Source organism: Homo sapiens, chromosome 10 (genome assembly GCF_000001405.40).
Source record: "Homo sapiens chromosome 10, GRCh38.p14 Primary Assembly".
NCBI classification, from domain to species: domain Eukaryota; kingdom Metazoa; phylum Chordata; class Mammalia; order Primates; family Hominidae; genus Homo; species Homo sapiens.
The window spans coordinates 121726132-121745640 of record NC_000010.11 but is presented as its reverse complement, the minus strand read 5'-3'; the positions used below and the strand labels follow the sequence as shown (position 1 = coordinate 121745640).

General features: G+C 43.4%; 1 protein-coding gene across 35 annotated transcripts in view, besides 1 other annotated feature; it reads left to right on the top strand.

Moving 5' to 3' along the window:
• Positions 1-5217, top strand: part of ATE1 (arginyltransferase 1) — a 188040-nt gene extending 182823 nt beyond the window's left edge. For all 35 annotated transcript variants that reach the window (NR_110006.2, NM_001439381.1, NM_001439374.1 and 32 more), the window contains one exon: positions 1783-5217. Coding sequence is in view for 34 of the 35 variants with exons in the window: in NM_001439381.1 (NP_001426310.1) it covers positions 1783-1961 (179 nt within the window). In the remaining variant the exon portion in view is untranslated. The remainder of the gene's footprint in view (positions 1-1782) is intronic.
• Positions 12340-12932: an enhancer, noted in NCBI's record as "OCT4-NANOG hESC enhancer chr10:123492224-123492816 (GRCh37/hg19 assembly coordinates)". NCBI's record gives its function as "activates a minimal SCP1, AML or CMV promoter by ChIP-STARR-seq in primed H9 embryonic stem cells {active_cell/tissue: H9 hESC(primed)}" and the evidence as "EXISTENCE:reporter gene assay evidence [ECO:0000049][PMID:30033119]".

The following is a 19509-nucleotide window of genomic DNA, read 5'->3' as shown; positions in this document are numbered from 1 at the left end:
ATTCTCCTGCCTCAGCCTCCTGAGTAGCTGGGACTACAGGCGCCCGCCACCACGCCTGGCTAATTTTTTTGTTTTTTGGTTTTTTTTTAGTAGAGACGGGGTTTCACCGTGTTAGCCAGAATGGTGTCGATCTCCTGACCTCGTGATTTGCCCACCTTGGCCTCCCAAAGTGCTGGGATTACAGGCGTGAGCCACTGCACCCCGCCTGTGGTTCTTAACCCACTTTAAAGGGCTTGAGGAAATACTGAAGCTCAGGTCCCATTCAGAGTAGTTTTTGTATTAGGATCTCCGGGGAGGGGATCCAGGCTTTGGTATTTTTCAAAATCTCAGGTGGTTACAATATGTAGTCAGGCTTGAGAACCACTGCTGTAGGATTGTTCTTAGAAGTAGACTTATTGAGTCAGTGAAAACATTGTACATTTTAGTAGATACTGTAACATTATTCTCTATATTCTTTAGGATTAGGAGTGACTGCCAGTAATAGAAACCTAAGGTAATATTGGGTTAAACAAGATAGTTTATTTGTAATGTAAATATCTAGACATAGGCAACCTGGAGCTGGTATGGCAGTTTTGTTCCATGAAGTCCTCAGTTGCCCAGGTCCCTTCTAGCTTTTGTTTTGGCTGAACTGAAAGTAAGCTCTTAGCCCAAAACTCCAAGGTGGAGGGTAGGGATCCTGCCATGAAGTCCAACGTTCCAGGCAGCAGAATGAAGGAAAGGTTGAAAATCAGCAAAAGGTACAGGTCAGCTATCCTTTGGAAAAGATGCTTGGAAACTTCCACAAAACACTTCCACTTGTATCCCATTGGCCAGAACTTGGTCATGAGCCCACACCCAGCCACAGGAAGGCTGGGAAACAGGCTTTTGTCTGGGTGACCTGTGTACCCTGAAGAAAACCGGGGCTGGTTTTATATGAAAGAAGAGAAGGACAGATAGTGGCAGCCACCAACGGTCTCTTCCACGTCTTCCATGAAAGCTGTAGGAACCTGCCCTCCTACCTAAGACCATGAGGGTGCATTGTCCATACCTAGTAATTCACAACTGCAGAGTCAGCCAAAAGCTTCAGTGCAGAGATTAAAACTTCAGATAATATGTTGGTACAGGGAGAGGCAAAACAGACTTAAATCAGATGCAGGAATGATGCCGGAGAGTTGTAAACTTTATCATGTGCCAGAAAATAATAAAGGTGCAGGAGGCCAGTGTTCTAATTAGACACATTTTGTCTCTGCTTGGTGTTTCAGCTGTCATCCTGGAGGGTCTTTATCACCTTCAGCATGGCAGTTGTTACTTAATTGCTAACATACTCAAGTTTGTGTTAATATTAATGCTGCCCACCCTCACTTGAACATACTCATCAAAGATATCTTAATACATAATTTTTATATTTTAAGTTAAAAATTTTTTAAATTAAGAAATGAAGGCTGGGTACAGTGACTCAAACCTGTAATCCCAGAACTTTGGGAGGCTGAGGCGGGAGGATTACTTGAGGTTAGGAGTTCGAGACAGCCTGGCCAACATGGTGAAATCCCATCTCTACTAAAAATACAAAAATTAGCCTGGTGTGGTGGCACACACCTGTAATCCCAGCTACTTGGGAGGCTGAGGCAGGAGACTCGCATTAACTTGAGAGGTGGATGTTGCAGTGAGGTGAGACAGCGCCACTGCACTCCAGCCTGGGCGACAGAGCAAGACTCTTGTCTCAAAAAAAAAAAAAAAAAAAAAAAGGAAACAAAAAGTTTTGATATGTGACATTTTACAAATCAGTATTTTTTGTCGTTGCAGTGGATGAGGATCGCAGTACGGAACCTGACCGATTGCAGGTGTTTCACAAGAGAGCCATCATGCCTTACGGTGTTTATAAGAAACAGCAGAAAGACCCAAGTGAGGAGGCTGCTGTTCTGCAGTACGCCAGCCTGGTGGGGCAGAAGTGCTCCGAGCGGATGCTGCTGTTCAGAAACTGACCTGTTCACCTCTGCCGGGAAGTTCCTGTGTTGTGCTGATGATTTGTGCCAGGATACATATTCAGTACCTGTGGGGAAATAACTGTCACCACCCACAAATTAGACATTTTTTATTTTGACTATCTATGGCTTTTAAAAAATATTTTGTGGCAATGTATCTGTGAGAATCTCATAGTTAATATAAAGATTTTAAAACTGCATTATGACCTAGCCCCCATAATTGGGATTTATCATTTTGGAGGATTCTTTCTAGAGCAAGATACGCTCAAATTCTCCTGTTTGTATTTTGTAAAATGAAGAAGTGAATCTAAGTAACTTAATCACAGTTGTGCATTTTTTTTGGTTCTGTTAGAGAAATTAAAACAGACTGTTTCCTCAGGCCCATTTTAAACTGAACTTATGCTAGGAAACCTTAAGTATGGGGAAGGTAGAAAGTTCATTTCATCACTTAGAAAATATGTCTTCTCAAGAACAAAACTGTGCTGTTACAACTCAGTGTTCAATGTGAAATTGCTGCCAAATGTTATGTAGTTTAATAGAGAACTTGAAAAAATAAAACATTAAAATGGAGCTTGTGTTAGCATCAGGTATCCATTTGTTCAGGACAGTCCTGTTCATGTCTGTTGTCTTGGCATAGTTTTTTCCCCTAGAATATAGTACTCCCTTTTACTCTAAAAAATATCCCAGTTTGGACAATAAAATACATAATTACTCTAGTTATATTATTTGCTTTACTTCTAAAAATGTAAGAAATTGAATTTTTTTAAAGAAAAATGTTGGTTCCTGCCTTGATCTAAGTCTCATCCAAAGGAAATAAATAGTCACTAGTTTTTTATCTTACAACTCAGGACATTTGTCTTTGGTTATTAATGGAAATTAGTATGTGATTACTTTCATAGTTATGCCACAAATCACATTGAAGAAGGAATCATTCCGACCTCTGTTCCAGGACAAGAGCTAGAACAATCCATTTCTTGTCCTTTGATTTGAGAGTCACAGTCAGGGTGGCTTCTGCCACCCTTAGTAACTCAGAGCAGAGGCCAGCCCCCTCCTTCCCTCACTTTCTTTTGCTGAGTCCTTTGCCCACCTGTCAAGGTGGCAGGCACTGTGCTGGGTACAGGAGGACAGTCAGACATGTCCCTTCTTAGCTATAGTCGAGCTGTCTGGGAAACAGGATGAAAAACAGGAGGGTTATTTTCTTGTGCCCTCTTTGTCAGCTGATCCCCTCTTCTGCTACCAGCTATTTGGCCAGCAAGCCGTTTTTAGTCCCCACTTTGCCCATTTTTCTGTTTTGGTTCATCGTTTCTTAAAAGCCATGTTATAAAACATGGTAGTTTGAATCCTGTTGCTAATTTTAAACTTTCCTCTAAAATGTACTGAATTTTGACAAAAATTTGAAAATATCCTCAGCTAACTAGAATAAAAAGGATCATAAAACAATGATTTTAAAACTGAAATCTCTAGAAACTCAACATCCAAGTCAGCCGCATTTCTTCATTCAGAGTGTGTGTGTCACACCTGCCAAGGTGCTGCGTACTCTGCTAACCGAGCTAGAGTAGTGAGCAAAGCCATTTTCTCTGATCACAAGATTTTACATTTTTCTGGGATTTTGACCTGCAAAGTAGTCTCGTAAGAGCATTTGAGAGACTTACTTGGAACTGCCTTCAGAATCTATAGAGCCTTTTTTCTCTTTTTCCTCTAAAATGAAAAGAGCTTCATTTTATGATTATAACAAAAGTGACACTGTAAGCAGTTAGAACATTAAGAAGTATAAATAAAAAGTAAAAATCATCTACAACCCTACCATACTCAGAAGGAGAAAAGAACTGTCATGTATGTATACACACATACCTATGTAATTTTAATATAAATAGAATTATGTTCTACATGCTGTTTTATTTCCTCAACAGTAAATTATGGACATGTCTGAAATGTGAAATAAATTTCAAAATAAGGCTTCAGAAAGTGTAGTAAGTAATCTCTGCATTATTAAAAATAAGCAGGGTAGGGCTGGTACTTGGCTCGCTTAGCATTTGAATGTCCAACTTGGTGTTATCACTGTATCTTCCCTCCATTTGTCTTTGTGATTAGCATGTAAAATGGTATTCATAAAGATCACAACCCTTGAATATCAGATGAAGAGAAAACTTGACTCCAACATCTTACCACAACTCTGGTTTCTTCCTGCAGAATTCATTTTCAGAGGAAAATGATGAATCATCCCTGTCTGTGAACCACTGTGCTTTCCTTGAGGGTGGCATTGTAGGTTGACACCAGCAAAGACTCAGAGTGACTTGAGCATTGGAGATCCTTCTACTTGGCTGCTGTATTCATGCATTATGTTGGTTTGAGAATAGCTAGTGTATTGATCCAAGTAGTCAAAGTGTCTTAAAAGGACACCTATTTGTCCTTTTGAGCCCCAGCTGAGTGAATACTGATAGTGGACTAGAAAAGCATAGTCAAGAAAAGTGACCCACCTTGTTACTTGACCAGCAGTCTAGCTGAGAGATCTGATTTTATGTTCGTAACTTTCTGTAAAGAAAGACACAAGGACTTTTCAAAGACAGTTTATATCTTTCCAAGGCAGGAAGCTTTGCATTTGCAATCTTAGTGTTGTGTCCCTTTCTGATTTTCAAATACATCACACCTGCCTTCCTGTTTTGGGAGCAAAGATGTAATTTCAATTCCCCTTGCTACCGTCCTTATTTAAATTATTTCCATTCTAAGAGATTTTTGTTATTTTTTTAAATGTAATCTGAGCACTTTTTTGTATTCTAAAAGATAGATGATATCAGATAAATATGTTGTACATTTGATTAAAATTATTTAGATAAATATTACTATGTTGACTTTTAAATAGCTTTATCCTATTTTTCATTCATTTTGCAAATATTTGTTGTGTGTAGTTTCTTAACGTGTCAGAATCTATTATGTAAAAGAACCTTTCCAGATTTCTGAACAGTATATGCTTTGATTTTATAGGCTTTATATTATTTCAGTATGAATAAAGATAAGGAATATGAAACAGTTAACTAAAATGTATCTGTCGTTGCTAACTTGAAAAATGAAGTAGAAACAGTTGGAAAATGTTTGAATTAGAAGTTATTCAAGTGCACACTCTTTTCTAAAAGAAAGCCAATGACTATAAGGCAAAAGAAGTTTGACTGCATGTGGTATTTTTTGCTCTTGTATATGCTTTTTGAACAAGCTATTTGATAAAGCCTGAATGGAAAAAATAAAGCTGTTTCTATCTGCAGTGGCTCTTGGTGGTCATTACTTAAAAGACATATGTTTTCATCTTTAAATTCCTGAACACATTTCACCTGCTGTGAATATGTAGAAAACAGAGGTAAAACATTGGCTATATGAGTCATAAAATTTAATTTTCACTAAATGGAGTTCCAGACCATGTGGTTATCTAAATCAAAGTACGGTGGATTCCTTTCTCAGAGAGTAAAGTAAATCCCATTTTAAGCCAGAAGTCTGGATTTTCACAAGATAAATTAGGGAATAGACTTTTATAACCCAAAGGGATTCAAAATAGGACTTTATCAAATTCAAATATAATTTATCTTAGAACGTTTACAGAGAAATTTTAAAAAATATAAAGTGTGCTTTAATTGTTCATAATAGTCTGTGGTATATTTATGCAATACATTTACTAGTGTTTTATCTCTTTACAGTAAAGAGGGTCCTGGTAGGTTGGTGATAAAATGAATCCTATTTCCAAGTGATTTAAATATTAGTTACAATTCCCACTGTCATTTTTTTCCTCCAGAATGGACTTAGCCTTTTCTTAGTTGAAATGGACAGTGTTCATCAGGAAACATTTAGACAATATAGAAAAGAATACTGAAGAAAAGTAAAAACAATTTTAATCCCATCGGCAACAACTCCTGACTACCTTTCACGTTTCAGTGTAGACTAAGAATTAAAGTTGCTGTAGACGTTTTGTTTCCCAAGTTTTTATTAGAGCTTCCAAATAGCTTGCATGCATATAGAGAGCGTGGTTTCCTCATCACATCTCTTCATCTGCAATATGAAGAAGCAATTCTAAATTAAAAGTGCTGTTTTTAAAAGTTAGTATAGCAGCTCTTACATGGCATTTGTAATACCACTCGAAATGGAGCATTTCAGCCATCTTAGGGGCATTCTTGTCTGGCATGTATAAAGCAGACTGTTAGTGACTAGCACAAGTATTTTTGTTTCTTTGATCATTAAAGTTTGATTAAATGCAATATGTTTAAAAAGTGGTTTTAAAGATTTATTTATTTTGATGTTACAGGCTAGAGTCATTATAAGAAAAAGGTCCTTTGGGAGGCCAAGGCAGGAGGATTGCTTGAGGCTGGGAGTTCCAGACAAGCCTGGGCAACATAGTGAGACCCCATCTCTACAAAAACAAAATTAGCCAGGCGTGTTGTGTGCCTGTAGTCCTAGCTACCTGGGAGGCTGAAACAAGGATCGCTTGAGTTCAGTTCACAGCTTCAGTGAGCTATGATCACACCACTGCTATACAGCTTGGGTGACAGAGCGAGTCCTTGTCTCTCAAAAATTGTGCGTGTGTGTGTGTGTTTACACGTGTATGTATTTATATATATAAATGTACTCCCAACATATTATTCAATTGTGATTTTGAATGAAATTTTCTTCTGAACCTTAATTTTCCATGCTTGTCAGTCTGTGCCAGGGTCTTAAAATTATTTAACATAAGGTTTTTAAAATTTTAATTAATGTTAAATGAAAACTCATGAATACTTCATGAAATCCAATTCATCACACTTTGTTAGTTCAGTATTCAGTGAATCTGAATAGCATCTCTCAACTATTGGAGCTTTTTGATCGTGAAACAAGAAAAACAGCATTTTAGGTTTGTGAATTCAGAGCTTAAGGCTTTTAGCTCAGTCGTATGTCAACAGTTCTACATATTTGTCCAGAATATTTTAAAATATCGAGAGGTGGCCAGACTGTACTTCGGAAGTTAACTGTTGCTGATGTGAGTTACTTTACTGACCTTTAAGGCAAATACTGTACACACATATGTACATACAGCAAGAGAGCATGTACGCAGTGAAATCTCCCTAGTAATGGTAGGATGTCTCAGTTTTGATTCACGGAATCAACTTGATAAAGGGTTTGGATTTATGATTATGGTAGGAATGACACAAACTGCTAAGGCTGCCCTGTACAATAAGGTAGCTTTAGCCACATATGTCTAATTCAATTAAAATTTAAATTCGGGCCGGGTGTGATGGCTCACGCCTGTAATCCCAGCACTTTGGGAGGCTGAGGCGGGCGAATCACGAGGTCAGGAGTTCAAGACCATCCTAGCCAACATGGAGAAACCCCGTCTCTACTAAAAATACAAAAACAATTAGATGGGCATGGTGGTGGGCGCCTGTAATCCCAGCTATTCGGGAGGCTGAGGCAGGAGAATCTCTTGAACCAGGGAGGCGGAGGTTGCAGTGAGCTGAGATCGCGCCACTGCACTCCAGCCTGGGCGACAGTGTGAGACTCCGTCTCAAAAAAATAAAATAAAATAAAATGTGTCATGCTTTGGTACTTTCTTAGGTTTCTATGTGGTAAAACACTGTGGTACTATGACAGGGGAACATTTGTTTGTGGGCAACTTCCTTTGACACTTTGCGGTTTCTCATATGTAATTCCCATTGTGCAATCTAGTCCCACGTTTGATTTAAGTGCAGCTATGCCTATGTGCGTTTGTAGCATCTCATTACTATATCAGTTTCCTAAGATAACTGTTCCATTTAGATTTACAGTTAAGCTATGTACAGAGATGCTGCTTCCTTAAAGAACAATTTGAATGACTGAAAGATTAATTCAGAAATATTTACACAGGATTCCTGTTCTTTTATTTCCACTTTCAAATATTGCATCTTAAATTTTCTTCCAGGTTTCTAGTTTTCTAGTTGCATATTTATTTTATCCAAATAAAAAACTTTATCAATAACAATCTCTGAATCTATAGCAATCAAAGGATGTTCATGCATCTTACAAAAGAAGTCTACTCAAAAATCTTCAGTGACCTAACTCTGCAAAAGAAAGGTGGGAGAAAATAAATACTCATCATAACATCTCCCTTATACTGGTTAACATACAGCTGGTGGATAGTACACATGATTAAATCAGCCCAGAAGAAAGATTGGAAAGATTTATGGCTCTGCCTTTTGGAGATGTTTTATTCCTTTATTGCATTTTTTAGGGCAATTTTGATTACTAGGGTTTTTTCCCAGCCTACTTCTAACCCAAGCTGCGTGTCAATGTCTCAATCCATAGATCATATGGAATTTCAGTGGAGGCATTTCATTTAGATATGGGGAGGTTGGTCTGGACTTGCTTCACCAAAAATTGGTTGCTGATCCCCTTGGGCAGAGCTTGTGGGGGTGGGAGATTGGAAGGGGCCCCTGCTGACGGGCAGTGGCCATGGGAGTTCTGTGCAAGAATGAAGGGCAGCGCCTGCAGAAAGTACGAATGACTACTTCCAGTCTTCCTGGTTTCTGCCTGTTCTTGAGCCACGTTGCAATTCTATTTGTTATTTTACTAACAAAGCCAGGAAAATAATCAGTGTGTGGCCAGCAGTATGCAATTAATGCTTCTGCATCTACAGCAGCTGGTGATTATGCTTGAAGTATTTAATATTTCTGATAAAGTCACTAATTATTCTGTTGGGAAAGTTTGGAACTAAAGGAGCGAAGTTTAAAGGGAAAATCTGGAGACTAGTTTGGCCTTATTCTAATGAGTGTTATTCATTTCTCTTACCCATTTATTGCCTTTGTAAAGATACGGAAACTGTTATATGTCAGCATTATCGGTGTGTGATGAATTGTAGACCTCACTTATCTGTAGGCTGCTTATCTGGCCACTTCACCATCTGGAACATAGAAAAGGCAGAAAGGAAGGAAACACAATCACCGCTTAGCAGCTAGAATGGGCTGGAATTCATGCACCAAATCTCCTGCCTTATTCCTGGGAGCGCCATTAGGGCTATGTGGTATAGGAGAAAGAGCATGGGGCTTTGTGGAGATGTTTCTCTGAAGAAATTTTTGGCACCAAAGTAAAAGGAAAAAGTGAACTGGAAACAACGTGCTAATGGAAGGTTGCACATTTTACCCTGACCAGCTCTCCCTGTGCATGGCCGACAGCATTCCACCCGTGCCCTGTGGACAACCGTGGGTAGGGAGCGCTGACATCAGACCGGGAGCAACCTTCTGGCCACATTCCCCCAGCAAGCACCCGCATCCTTTTATTCACCTACTTAGTAAGTTAAAAGAAAAAGAAAAAATGTTTTGGAGAATCTGGACTTGGAAGGCAAACCAGACTAAGTTCAAGTCCTAGGAGCGCTATGAAGTGTGTGACGTTAGTGCCAGAAGGAAGTTCAGCAAACTTCAGCTTCCTCATCAGGAGTGGTGAACTGGGCAACCTGCTGCCCAGCTGATAGGAGTTGATGAGATTTGCAGGTGTAGACAGCTCAGCACGCAGCCTCGCTGCTGTTCTTCAGCCCGTTATATCTTGATCAAAGCAGGTATCAACCAAAAAAGAAAGGTCACAAGATTCAAGTTTTAACAAACATTACAGAAAAAAGGTGGAGTAAACTCTACTTAGCTAAGGTTATCTAAACAACAGGGTAGTTTCAGGCCAGTCGGAGAGTTGACTTTGGTAATGACAATGTTGAATTGTCCAGGAAATGGTTAAAATACATTTCCTATACTCTATTATAAGCAAATGTATAATGCAATGGAAATATTTCATAGTTAAAGCAATCAAAAGGTTCTCTTACAGGATAAATTACAGTTATCTGCAAAATTCACGATATCGGAACAGGCCTTCAAGACCGTGGAATTGAATCCATTTTAAATACCTGCTCACAAAGAAGACCCTAATGTCAGAAGGCTAAAAAGATGCTAATGGCTGCTGCTCTCTAATCGAATGTGGATAAACAATTATTCATAGGAACCCATTATTCATATTCATGAACAATTATTCATATTCACGGGAGCCTCACTCCAGTGGGGCCACCATTCAAGTTTTCCTTGGTATAATGGAGAAATAAAACGGGCTTGAGACCTGGGTACAATTATGCACATTTTTGTTTGTTTTGTTTGAGACAAAACTAAACGGGCTATCTGGAAAACCAGCAACATTTCACGGGCTCCGCTGATTGTCTCGCTCAGCACGCTGCCGCACGCAGTTACAGTTTAACTGATAATGACTAGACTGTTTTCATCTTGCCCCCAACTGCTCCGGCTTTTCTGCCTCCTTCTGCATCATTCTTCTGCATACAGGCGAATTCTGGAGGAGGCATCGCATCTTAAAATTGGCTTTTCACAGAGCCGCACAGGTTAGAGGAAGAGCAGCCTCAAATCAGGACATCGAAAGCACATTTTTTGGACTGGAAAAGTGGTGACGTTGGGTCCCGTGGGATGCTGCCTCAGTGGGAGCGAGAGTGGGCTGGAAGACAGTATTTGGAAATAGATCTGCAGCATTTTCCAAAAACAGGTGTTTATATAGTTAAACGTTGTTTTCTGAAGCCTCGTTAAAAGTGAATTCTGTTGTGTCCGTGGCTGTGTATCCAGCCCCTGGGTCTTCAAGCCTGGGCACGGGGAAGCCAGGGGGATGTTTTCCTGACACTGTCAGAATTGCTCTGCTCCCCATCCTGTTCCAACAGCTGCTCCGAGAGCCCCGATGGAAGCAGTTAGAATCTCAGCGGCGACTCTGCTGTCCACCTGGGCAGAGCCACTGGCTCGGATCTAGTGGAGGAGACACTGGCTGTGGCCCAACCTTGACCGAGAGAGAGCTGGCGCGGGAGGGGAGCGAGCCCTCTGCACTTCTCCCTTATTTTTAAGGGTGTTGCGTGCTCAGTTGACCCTTGGGTACAAAGTGGAGAGAAACTGGTCCCCTTTGCTCTTTCTGCCCTTTCAGTGACTTTTCCCCAAAAGCCACCAGGGGGCAGAAGAAGCCGCTTTGCTTTTTTTTTTTTTTTTTTAAACTTCTTAGCATTGGTCCATTGGGCCAATGTTTTTGATAGAAAACATTTTGACATAATTATATTTATAGCAAATAAATGTATGAATTCTATTTCCCATTTCCCACATCTTTGATTTTTTTCCAGATTTGGGTTGCCTTTGAATGAATTCTTCTGTAGCTAACTAAGGCAATTGTGAGGGGAGGTCTTCATTGAAGCAGGAATTTCTGCCAATGCATGATCTAGTTATGGGATCCCGTGTCTGATGCATCCCAGTCTCCCACGTTATTCTCTATCTTTCCAGACTTACTGGGCTGGGGCAGCCCTGGTTGTGTTTTATTTGGATTATTGCAGCAGGCTTTCAACCAGCGGCCATCCCAATCCTGTTATGCAGACGCCACCAGGCTCACCTGCCCAATGCAGCAGCCAGCAGATCTGTCTCTCCCCGGCCTAACCTCAGCCAGCTCCTCAGCCTGCCCATTGAAAGCTAAACTAGCCCACCTGGCAAGCCCAGACTTTCCTGCCAACCTTTCCCCTATATCCTCCTTCTATACACTGCTGTCTCAGGTCTTTCTTTCCTATTTCTTGATCTTCGCCAGGTCTGTTTCCTCCCCAGTCATGCTCCCTCCCCTTTAAGTGTGACCTAACCTTCTGGGTCCCTATCAGATGTCACCTCCTAACTAGCACCTTGTGTATAATATCAGGATCCCTGCCGGGCACGGTGGCTCACATCTGTCATCCCAGCACTTTGGGAGGCTGAGGTGGGTGGATCACCTGAGGTCGGGAGTTCGAGACCAGCCTGACCAGCATGGAGAAACCCTGTCTCTACTAAAAATACAAAATTAGCTGGGCGTGGTGGCAGGTGCCTGTAATCCCAGCTACTCAGAAGGCTGAGGCAGGAGAAACACTTGAACCTGGGAGGTGGAGGTTGTGGTGAGCCGAGATTGCGCCATTGCACTCCAGCCTGGGCAACAAGAGTGAAACTCTGTCTAATATATATATATATATATATATAATTTCCTACCATTGCATTTCTTTCATAAGGTTCTAGAAAACCAACCACGCAACTGGGGTCATAGGAATGGTGTGTGTTGGTCTCAGTTAAGGGAGCCAAAGAAAGGCCGGACTCGTTGGAGAAACCTGCTAGAGAAAACACCATGTGTTGTGTGGAGGCTGAATCCCAGCAACCGGGACCTCAGGCAGGGCCTGCTCCTGGAGCTGCTCGGGACTCCCTGGAAATATCTAGGAAGCTTTCCCAAGGAGCGAGTCCTAACTAGACCATATCAAGCTTTGCAGGCTCCGAACGCATTAAGAACAACAGAAACACTCGTGCAGAAGAGTGGTAAACGTGAGGTATAGAAGTGAGTTTTCCTTTGTAACCCTAGGAAAATACCAGTCTGTCTGCTTTTGAATGTGCAGCTACTAAAGATAATCTCTAAGAAATGCACCCTTTGTTCTGCCTGCTCTTTTGTTTCCTTGAAACAGACAGGTGGAAGTGAGAGGAATAGGTGCTTGGGGAGTGTTCCCAGAGGTGAAGGTGGTGCTTGCGTGGATGTCTGTGCCTAGGCAGGCACCTTCGCGGTCACCTGCTGCCAAATGAGCAGCAAGAGACAGGAGCAAATAAAGGAGCTCGTGCACAGCGGGGGGTTGACGTGCCTCCCAGCAGGAGAAGCACATGTGAGGGGAATTGTCTTGGGACACTTGGCTGTTGGTAGAACAGCTGCTTTGCATAATGAATTCCTGGCCTAATGGGTATGTAGATCCCAGCACTTGAGGCAGGACTGTTTTTGGTTTAGTGCTCACACACCAGAAAATAGAATGCGCCAATATGAATTGAAAATTCTTAAAAGGGATCAGTGTAATCCCTATTTAATTTGGACTTTTCCTCGTAAATTCATTTCGCAAATGGTAGGACATTCTACTAACCGACACAAAGGCGTTTTTCTACATGCTGAACACACTTCACCCTGGGAATAGTCCACTTGCCCCTAATTGAGATCCTAAAGGAGGGAAAAGCCTTGCAAATAAATCTCTGCAAGTGCAGAAAAGAGCTCTCGATGCCATCCAAGTGGCATGTGGAATAAAAGTTCCCTTCCCTTCAGGGTTTCACATGGCCACAGATCCTTGAAAATGTTCAGGAGGGTGAAGTGAGGCTGAACATCATTAGGAAGATATCACTGCTATTTTGCTTTACTCACTCTTAATTTCTGTTAACTCTTCCTAAATTTTATGAGACTGATGCTTTTCCTTGAAGCTCATAAGGCATTTAAGTGCAGGCCCAAATGCATGAGTCGTGCTGTTCCTCTCATTTGAATTGGGACTTGCATATGGAGATGAGTGCACAATGACGTTTGCAGAGAATTACCATATCACCCGATGGCAGAACATGCCCATTCCAATGGGCAGGCAAGGAGGGTGGTGCCAGGGTATGCTGTGGGCACACAGACCTAATACTAACCCCACACATCTTGGGTCACAGATTAACCACTCTCATAGAGGCCTGGGGCTCTCAACCTGCTTGCTGTTTGAAAGCTCTGTGCAAAACCCAAGTCACACCTATATGCTCCATGCATTCATTCCTTAACTGATACCTTCATCCACAGCTATCTGAGCACCTACTCTATGCTAAGTATTATACTTGTCGCTGAGGTTGGTATGGTTTGGCTCTGTGTCCCCACCCAAATCTCATGTTGAATTGTAATCCCCACATGTGAGGGGAGGGTCCTGGTGGGAGGTGATTGGATCATGGGGACAGTTTCCCCCTTGCTGTTCTTATGAAACTGAATGAATTCTCACGAGATCTGATGGTTCAAAAGTATGGCACCTCCCCCTTCAAGTGCTCTCTCTCCTGCTCCGCTGTGGTAAGATGCGCTTGCTTTCCCTTCTGCCGTGATTGTAAGTTTCCTGAGGCCTCCCAGCCATGCTTCCTGTTAAGACTGCAGAACTGTGAGTCAATTAAACCTCTTTTCTTTATAAATTATCCAATCTCAGGTAGTTCTTTATAGCAATGTGAGAATAGACTAATATAGATGTGAACAAGACAGATTGGAATTGCATTCTAGGGAGAGAGGGAATTTACAAGTAAAAGAATAAATAAAAAAAGGATGTTTGATTGTGCTCAGTGGTACAAAAGCCCATTTTGGACAAGGTGGTCAGGAAAGGGCTTTTTGAAGCAGTGCCAGTAAATGTGTGTTGATGGAATGAAACCATGAATACAGGAACATACAGCACTACTGGGGATTCAGAGGTGGGAGCATCATGCTCTTTGCTCTTCAGGAGTTCAGAGTCTCAGAGGATTGACTCAAAACCATGAGCTGGAATGAGAAGGGATCTAAGAGTTCAGATTAATCCTATGGATGTTCTTAGGAAGAAGGGCTGGTCTCTAATTGAAGGCAAAGAGGTCTCCTGAGACAGCTGATCTTTGACCTCAGGTCAATTTTAGGAAAGAAAGAGGCCTAGAGTGTTCCCGGCAGAGGAATATAGCCCTGCGCAGAGATAAAAAGACAGGGCATGTGTTGGGAACAGCATGAGGTTTAATTTGGCTGAAATATAGAGAACTTGAAAGAAGGTCATGGGTGCTGCGGCTGAACTGGCCAAATGGGGCATCTTGCTGAAGGTCTGCTTGTGTGGCTGGCATGCTATTGTCTGCAAACAGCTTTCTGTCTGGCAACCCCAGACATAACATTAAATACTGGTGGCAAGTTACCATGGCTGGAAGGATGGATGGTCTGAGGAGTCTCCACCATTTCCCTGCCACAGGGGAGAGGGAGCCACATACTCACCTCTCAGGATAGATGTGGAGCCCGCTGGAAACACAATCGACCAGCCCGGATGGTTTTTCACAACCCGCGAAGTTGGTCTGCTGCTTTCCCCAGAGGTCTAGGGTGGAATGTCCACAAATCCTAAGCCTTTCCCATGGGGAGAATCCAGTCTGAGGGGGAGGCCTGGCAGAAATGCAGAGGGTCCCACCAGAACAAGCCTCAGGACAGGTGCCATGAAGACAGCTCTGTGGACTCTGAGGGGTCAGATGAGGGGCTACATGGAGACCAGCACGGACCAAGAAATCATGGTTAAAAAAAAAAAATCAGTGAGGAAAGCATTTAAAACATGTTGCTGGTCGAGTGTGGTGGCTCACGCCTGTAATCCCAGCACTTTGGGAGGCTGAGGCAAGAGGATCACTTGAGCTCAAGAGTTCGAGACCAGCCTGGGTTAACAGCGAGACCTCGTCTCTACTACAAATAAAACCAATTTTTGAAAAATCAGCTGGGTGTGGTAATGCCTGCACCTGTAGTCCCGCTACTCAGGAGGCTGAGGCAGGAGGATTGCTTGAGCTTGGGAGATGGAGGCTAGGGTGAGCTGTGATTGCCTCACTGCACTCAACCTGTGTGACAGAGCGAGACCTTTCTCAAAATACACACACACACACACACACACACACACACACACACACACACACTCGTTGCAATGCCTATTTCCCTGGTTTTCCTAGAGGATTTTTAACATGCTATTTCCACGGTCATGTGGGTTTCACAAGCTGGCCCTCCAAGCCCTCTGAACAAGCTGCCTCTTCGTGTGATGTGAATTTAGCTGAGGGAGTCACTGGATTCTTCATACACCGGCATTTTCCTTTCTGGAATGCTGCCTCCTGGATTGTAAGTACAAAAACACAAAGTGAACGTGATGCAAACGCAGGAAAGAAATGTCTTTTTAACAAATCTTCGGCCGGGCGCGGTGGCTCACGCCTGTAATCCCAGCACTTTGGGAGGCCGAGGCGGGCGGATCACGAGGTCAGGAGATCGAGACCATCCCGGCTAAAACGGTGAAACCCCGTCTCTACTAAAAATACAAAAAATTAGCCGGGCGTAGTGGCGGGCGCCTGTAGTCCCAGCTACGCGGGAGGCTGAGGCAGGAGAATGGCGTGAACCCGGGAGGCGGAGCTTGCAGTGAGCCGAGATCCCGCCACTGCACTCCAGCCTGGGCGACAGAGCGAGACTCCGTCTCAAAAAAAAAAAAAAAAAAAAAAAAAAAATCTTCACAGGAGACATGCTAAGATAAAAGAGCAGAACACTGAAGGCCCCAGTGACTGAGGGGCCCGACAAGCACCTCACTTTCGAGCGGGTCCAGGTAGTGGCCGTCAAGACACTGCACCCCTCTGCGCTCCAGGATTTCTGCAACAGTGAGGCCCCTCCTCAAAAGGCAGTTTGGTTCTCGCAACCTCGCGCAATGAGGACAGGGCCAGGCATTACCCGCTCTTAGTCCTGAGCCATTCACTGGCTTTGTGCCCTTAAGAAAGTTCCTACTCCGGTCAGGTGTGGTGGCTCACACCTGTCATCCCAACACTTTGGGAGGCCGAGGCGGGTGGATCACGAGGTCAAGAGATCGAGACCATCCTGGCCAACATGGTGAAACCCCATCTCAACTAAAAATACAAAAATTAGCTGGGTGTGGTGGTGCGTGCCTGTAGTCCCAGCTACTCGGGAGGATGAGGCGTAGAATCTATTGAACCCGAGAGGTGGAGGTTAAAGTGAGCCGAGATCGCACCACTGCACTCCAGCCTGGTGATAGAGTGAGACTCTGTCTCAAACAAAACAAAACAAAAAAACAAAAATCCCTGCTCCTCAACGCCCCAGTCCCTAAAGAAGATGCTAGAACATCCACCTTCCCACTTCTCTAGGATTCTACAGGCCGATGAGTGTGTAGACACGACACTGGAAATAACCGCATATGCCAAGGTGGAGTCACACCAGGTGAAAGGCAAATGGACTCGGCATCAGACAACAACACAGTGGCCAGCTTGGTTAAGAAGGAGGCAGCGTGCTGGAGTCCCCCGCCATCCCCCCACAACCACCTTGGAAATTTGTTCCTACTCCTAAGTTTCTAGAGAGGAACATTTTGGGGAAATCTTTGATTTTACCCACCTTTTAAAAAGTAAACTTAAAAAATAGATAACATGCATGCAGAAAAATGCACACTTATGTTTACAAGTGTATGAGCTCAATGAATTTCTACAAAGCGAACGTACCCAATCCCACCTCCAGGCCAAGGTAGAGAACACGGCCATCATCCCACTCACCGCCCTCCACAAAGGGCGTCTCCGTTCAGGCTCTAGCCCCATGGTGAATCTGCCTCTCTTTGAACTCTGTATAAATGGAACATACAGCAGGCTGTCTTTCACGTCAGGATCCCTTTACTCAATATTCTGTTTGCAAGACTCCCTGTACCTTTGCTCATGTAGGATTTCATTCATTCTCATTGCTGTCTAGTATTCCATTGTGTAACTGCCACAATTTAGCCATTCTACTAGTGATGGACATTTGGGTTATTTCCAGAATGTTGGCTATAACAAATAGGTTTTAAGCATTCTTTTATACATTTTTGGAGCATATATGCTTGCATTTCTGTAGGATATATACCTAGAAGTGCCTACCACTTTTTTCTTTTTACAAATCTTTATTCAAAGATATAACACATTCTTGATATACATCCAAGTAATTTTTTCTTTTTATAAATGACAGATAAAATTGTACATATTTGTCATGTACAACATGATGTTTTGAAGTATACATTGTTGCCTACTTATTTTTTTAAGAGACAGGATATTGCTGTCTTGCCCAGGCTGGACTTGAATAGCTGGACACTAAGGATCCTCCTGCCTCACCTTCCCAAGTAGCTGGGATGACAGGCATGCACCACCATGCGTGGCCCCACCACTTTTGAAAACCTGTGATCTCCAGAACAAAGATGCCCAGACACCTCACTGGTGCACAGCAGGACTTACTAGAAATTCTCTTATGGTAATTTGTATCTGGAAAAATAGGAGAAATTACATTCACTAATTTTTGTTATAAAGATTAGCATTGACACCCACAGGCTGCAGGATAACAGACCATCGAGTGTACAATGCAGTGTAAGACATCCGAGGCTCCCTCACCCCCAGGTTAAGTAGATTTACACTTTTAACTAGATAGACCCTCACAACATGACAAGTGGCTTTAAAAAAAGTTGTGCTGGGTGCAGTGGCTCACGCCTATAATCCTAGCACTTTGGGAGGCTGAGGCGGGCGGATTGCCTGAGCTCAGGAGTTCGAGACCAGCCTGGGCAACATGTTGAAACCCCGTCCCTACTAAAATACAAAAAATTAGATGGGCACAGCGGCGGGCGTCTGTAGTCCCAACTACTCAGGAGGCTGAGGCAGGAGAATTGCTTGAACCCTGAGGGTGGAGGTTCCAATGAGCCGAGATAGCACCACTTCACTCCAGCCTGGGCGACAGAGCGAGTCTCCGTCTCTAAACAAAACAAAACAGAATTGTATACACACATGCACACACAGAGACTAAAAATAATTCTAATGATGCAAGCACAAGCAGGCAAGAAAATGACTGTGGCCATTTCTGCTCCTGGCTCTTCAAACAATTGACAACTTATCTGGCAAGAAGACCCACTGATTACAAAATAGTCAGTGCACCTTAACAACTGACCTCAGCCTAAGTGTATACTAAGCTTTGATATTTATCGCCTGGTGGGAGTTGTACATGTATTTAACATGTAAATAAACAACCGCACACGCACTGGCCGGGAAGCATGCTTGCGCTTGTCTTAGGTCAGATTTCCTAGGTGCAGAACCAGACCTGGATTCTTGGACAAGCGATGTATTGAGGGCATTCTCTCAGGAAAAGAGTGTGGGAACAGGACCAGAGCAGGGGAAGGACCTAAGCAAGGCTGTGGCCTCAGCCCGACCCTGCAGGGAGCTCGGGAGCAGACATCGCACCCCAGAGGAATGGTGGAGGTCTCCTCAGGAAGAAGTGGACCGGCCTCTTGCACTGCCCTAATCATACACTGGCTGTGAGCTGCTCCCACGATGGTGGGGCCGGGGTGCTCAGGTGTGCCTTGTAACCTCCCAGGTGAGCCTAGGGCAGCGCTCCAGCAAAAGGGGCAGCTGCTGGCAGCCAACATTCGCAGCAGCTGGGATCTGGGCAGGGCATAGCCGTGTCTACTCTCAGGCTCACCATTTACCAATGGGGTTCGTGGCCATAAAGTTCAGAGGCCACTGATAATCCAATGTCAGACTCGGGGATGAGAGCGAGGGTTGTGCTTCCTGCGGATGAGACACAGAAAACCCGTAAGCATTTGGCATGCGGCAGAGCAGCCCCACATTCCCATCGCACCCTGAGCACCTGGCATGGGCCCCCCAGCCCTCCTCTTCCACGGTCAGCAGCCATCATCTACACTGTGGTCATACCCTTGGACTATGATCTGTCTGTTCTTACATGGAGCCTCCGCAAGAGTTGCATTTGACTGTAAGAGCTAGAAGGACATGCTGACACAGGTAGGATGGTGATCTGGAAAAATTTAAAGGATGGCTTGAAGGAAGCTGTGAGGCGTTAAGCTAAGAACGAAGTCAAGGGTAAGAGAATTGACTTGGGGTAAAAAGAACACACACAGACACACACACACACGCGCGCACACACACACACACATAACAAGGAGAGGATGGGCTAGCCACCTGGAGCCAATGTGGAGAGCAGGGAAGAGGAGACCTAGTTCTCATCCTGGCTCTGTCACCAAAGA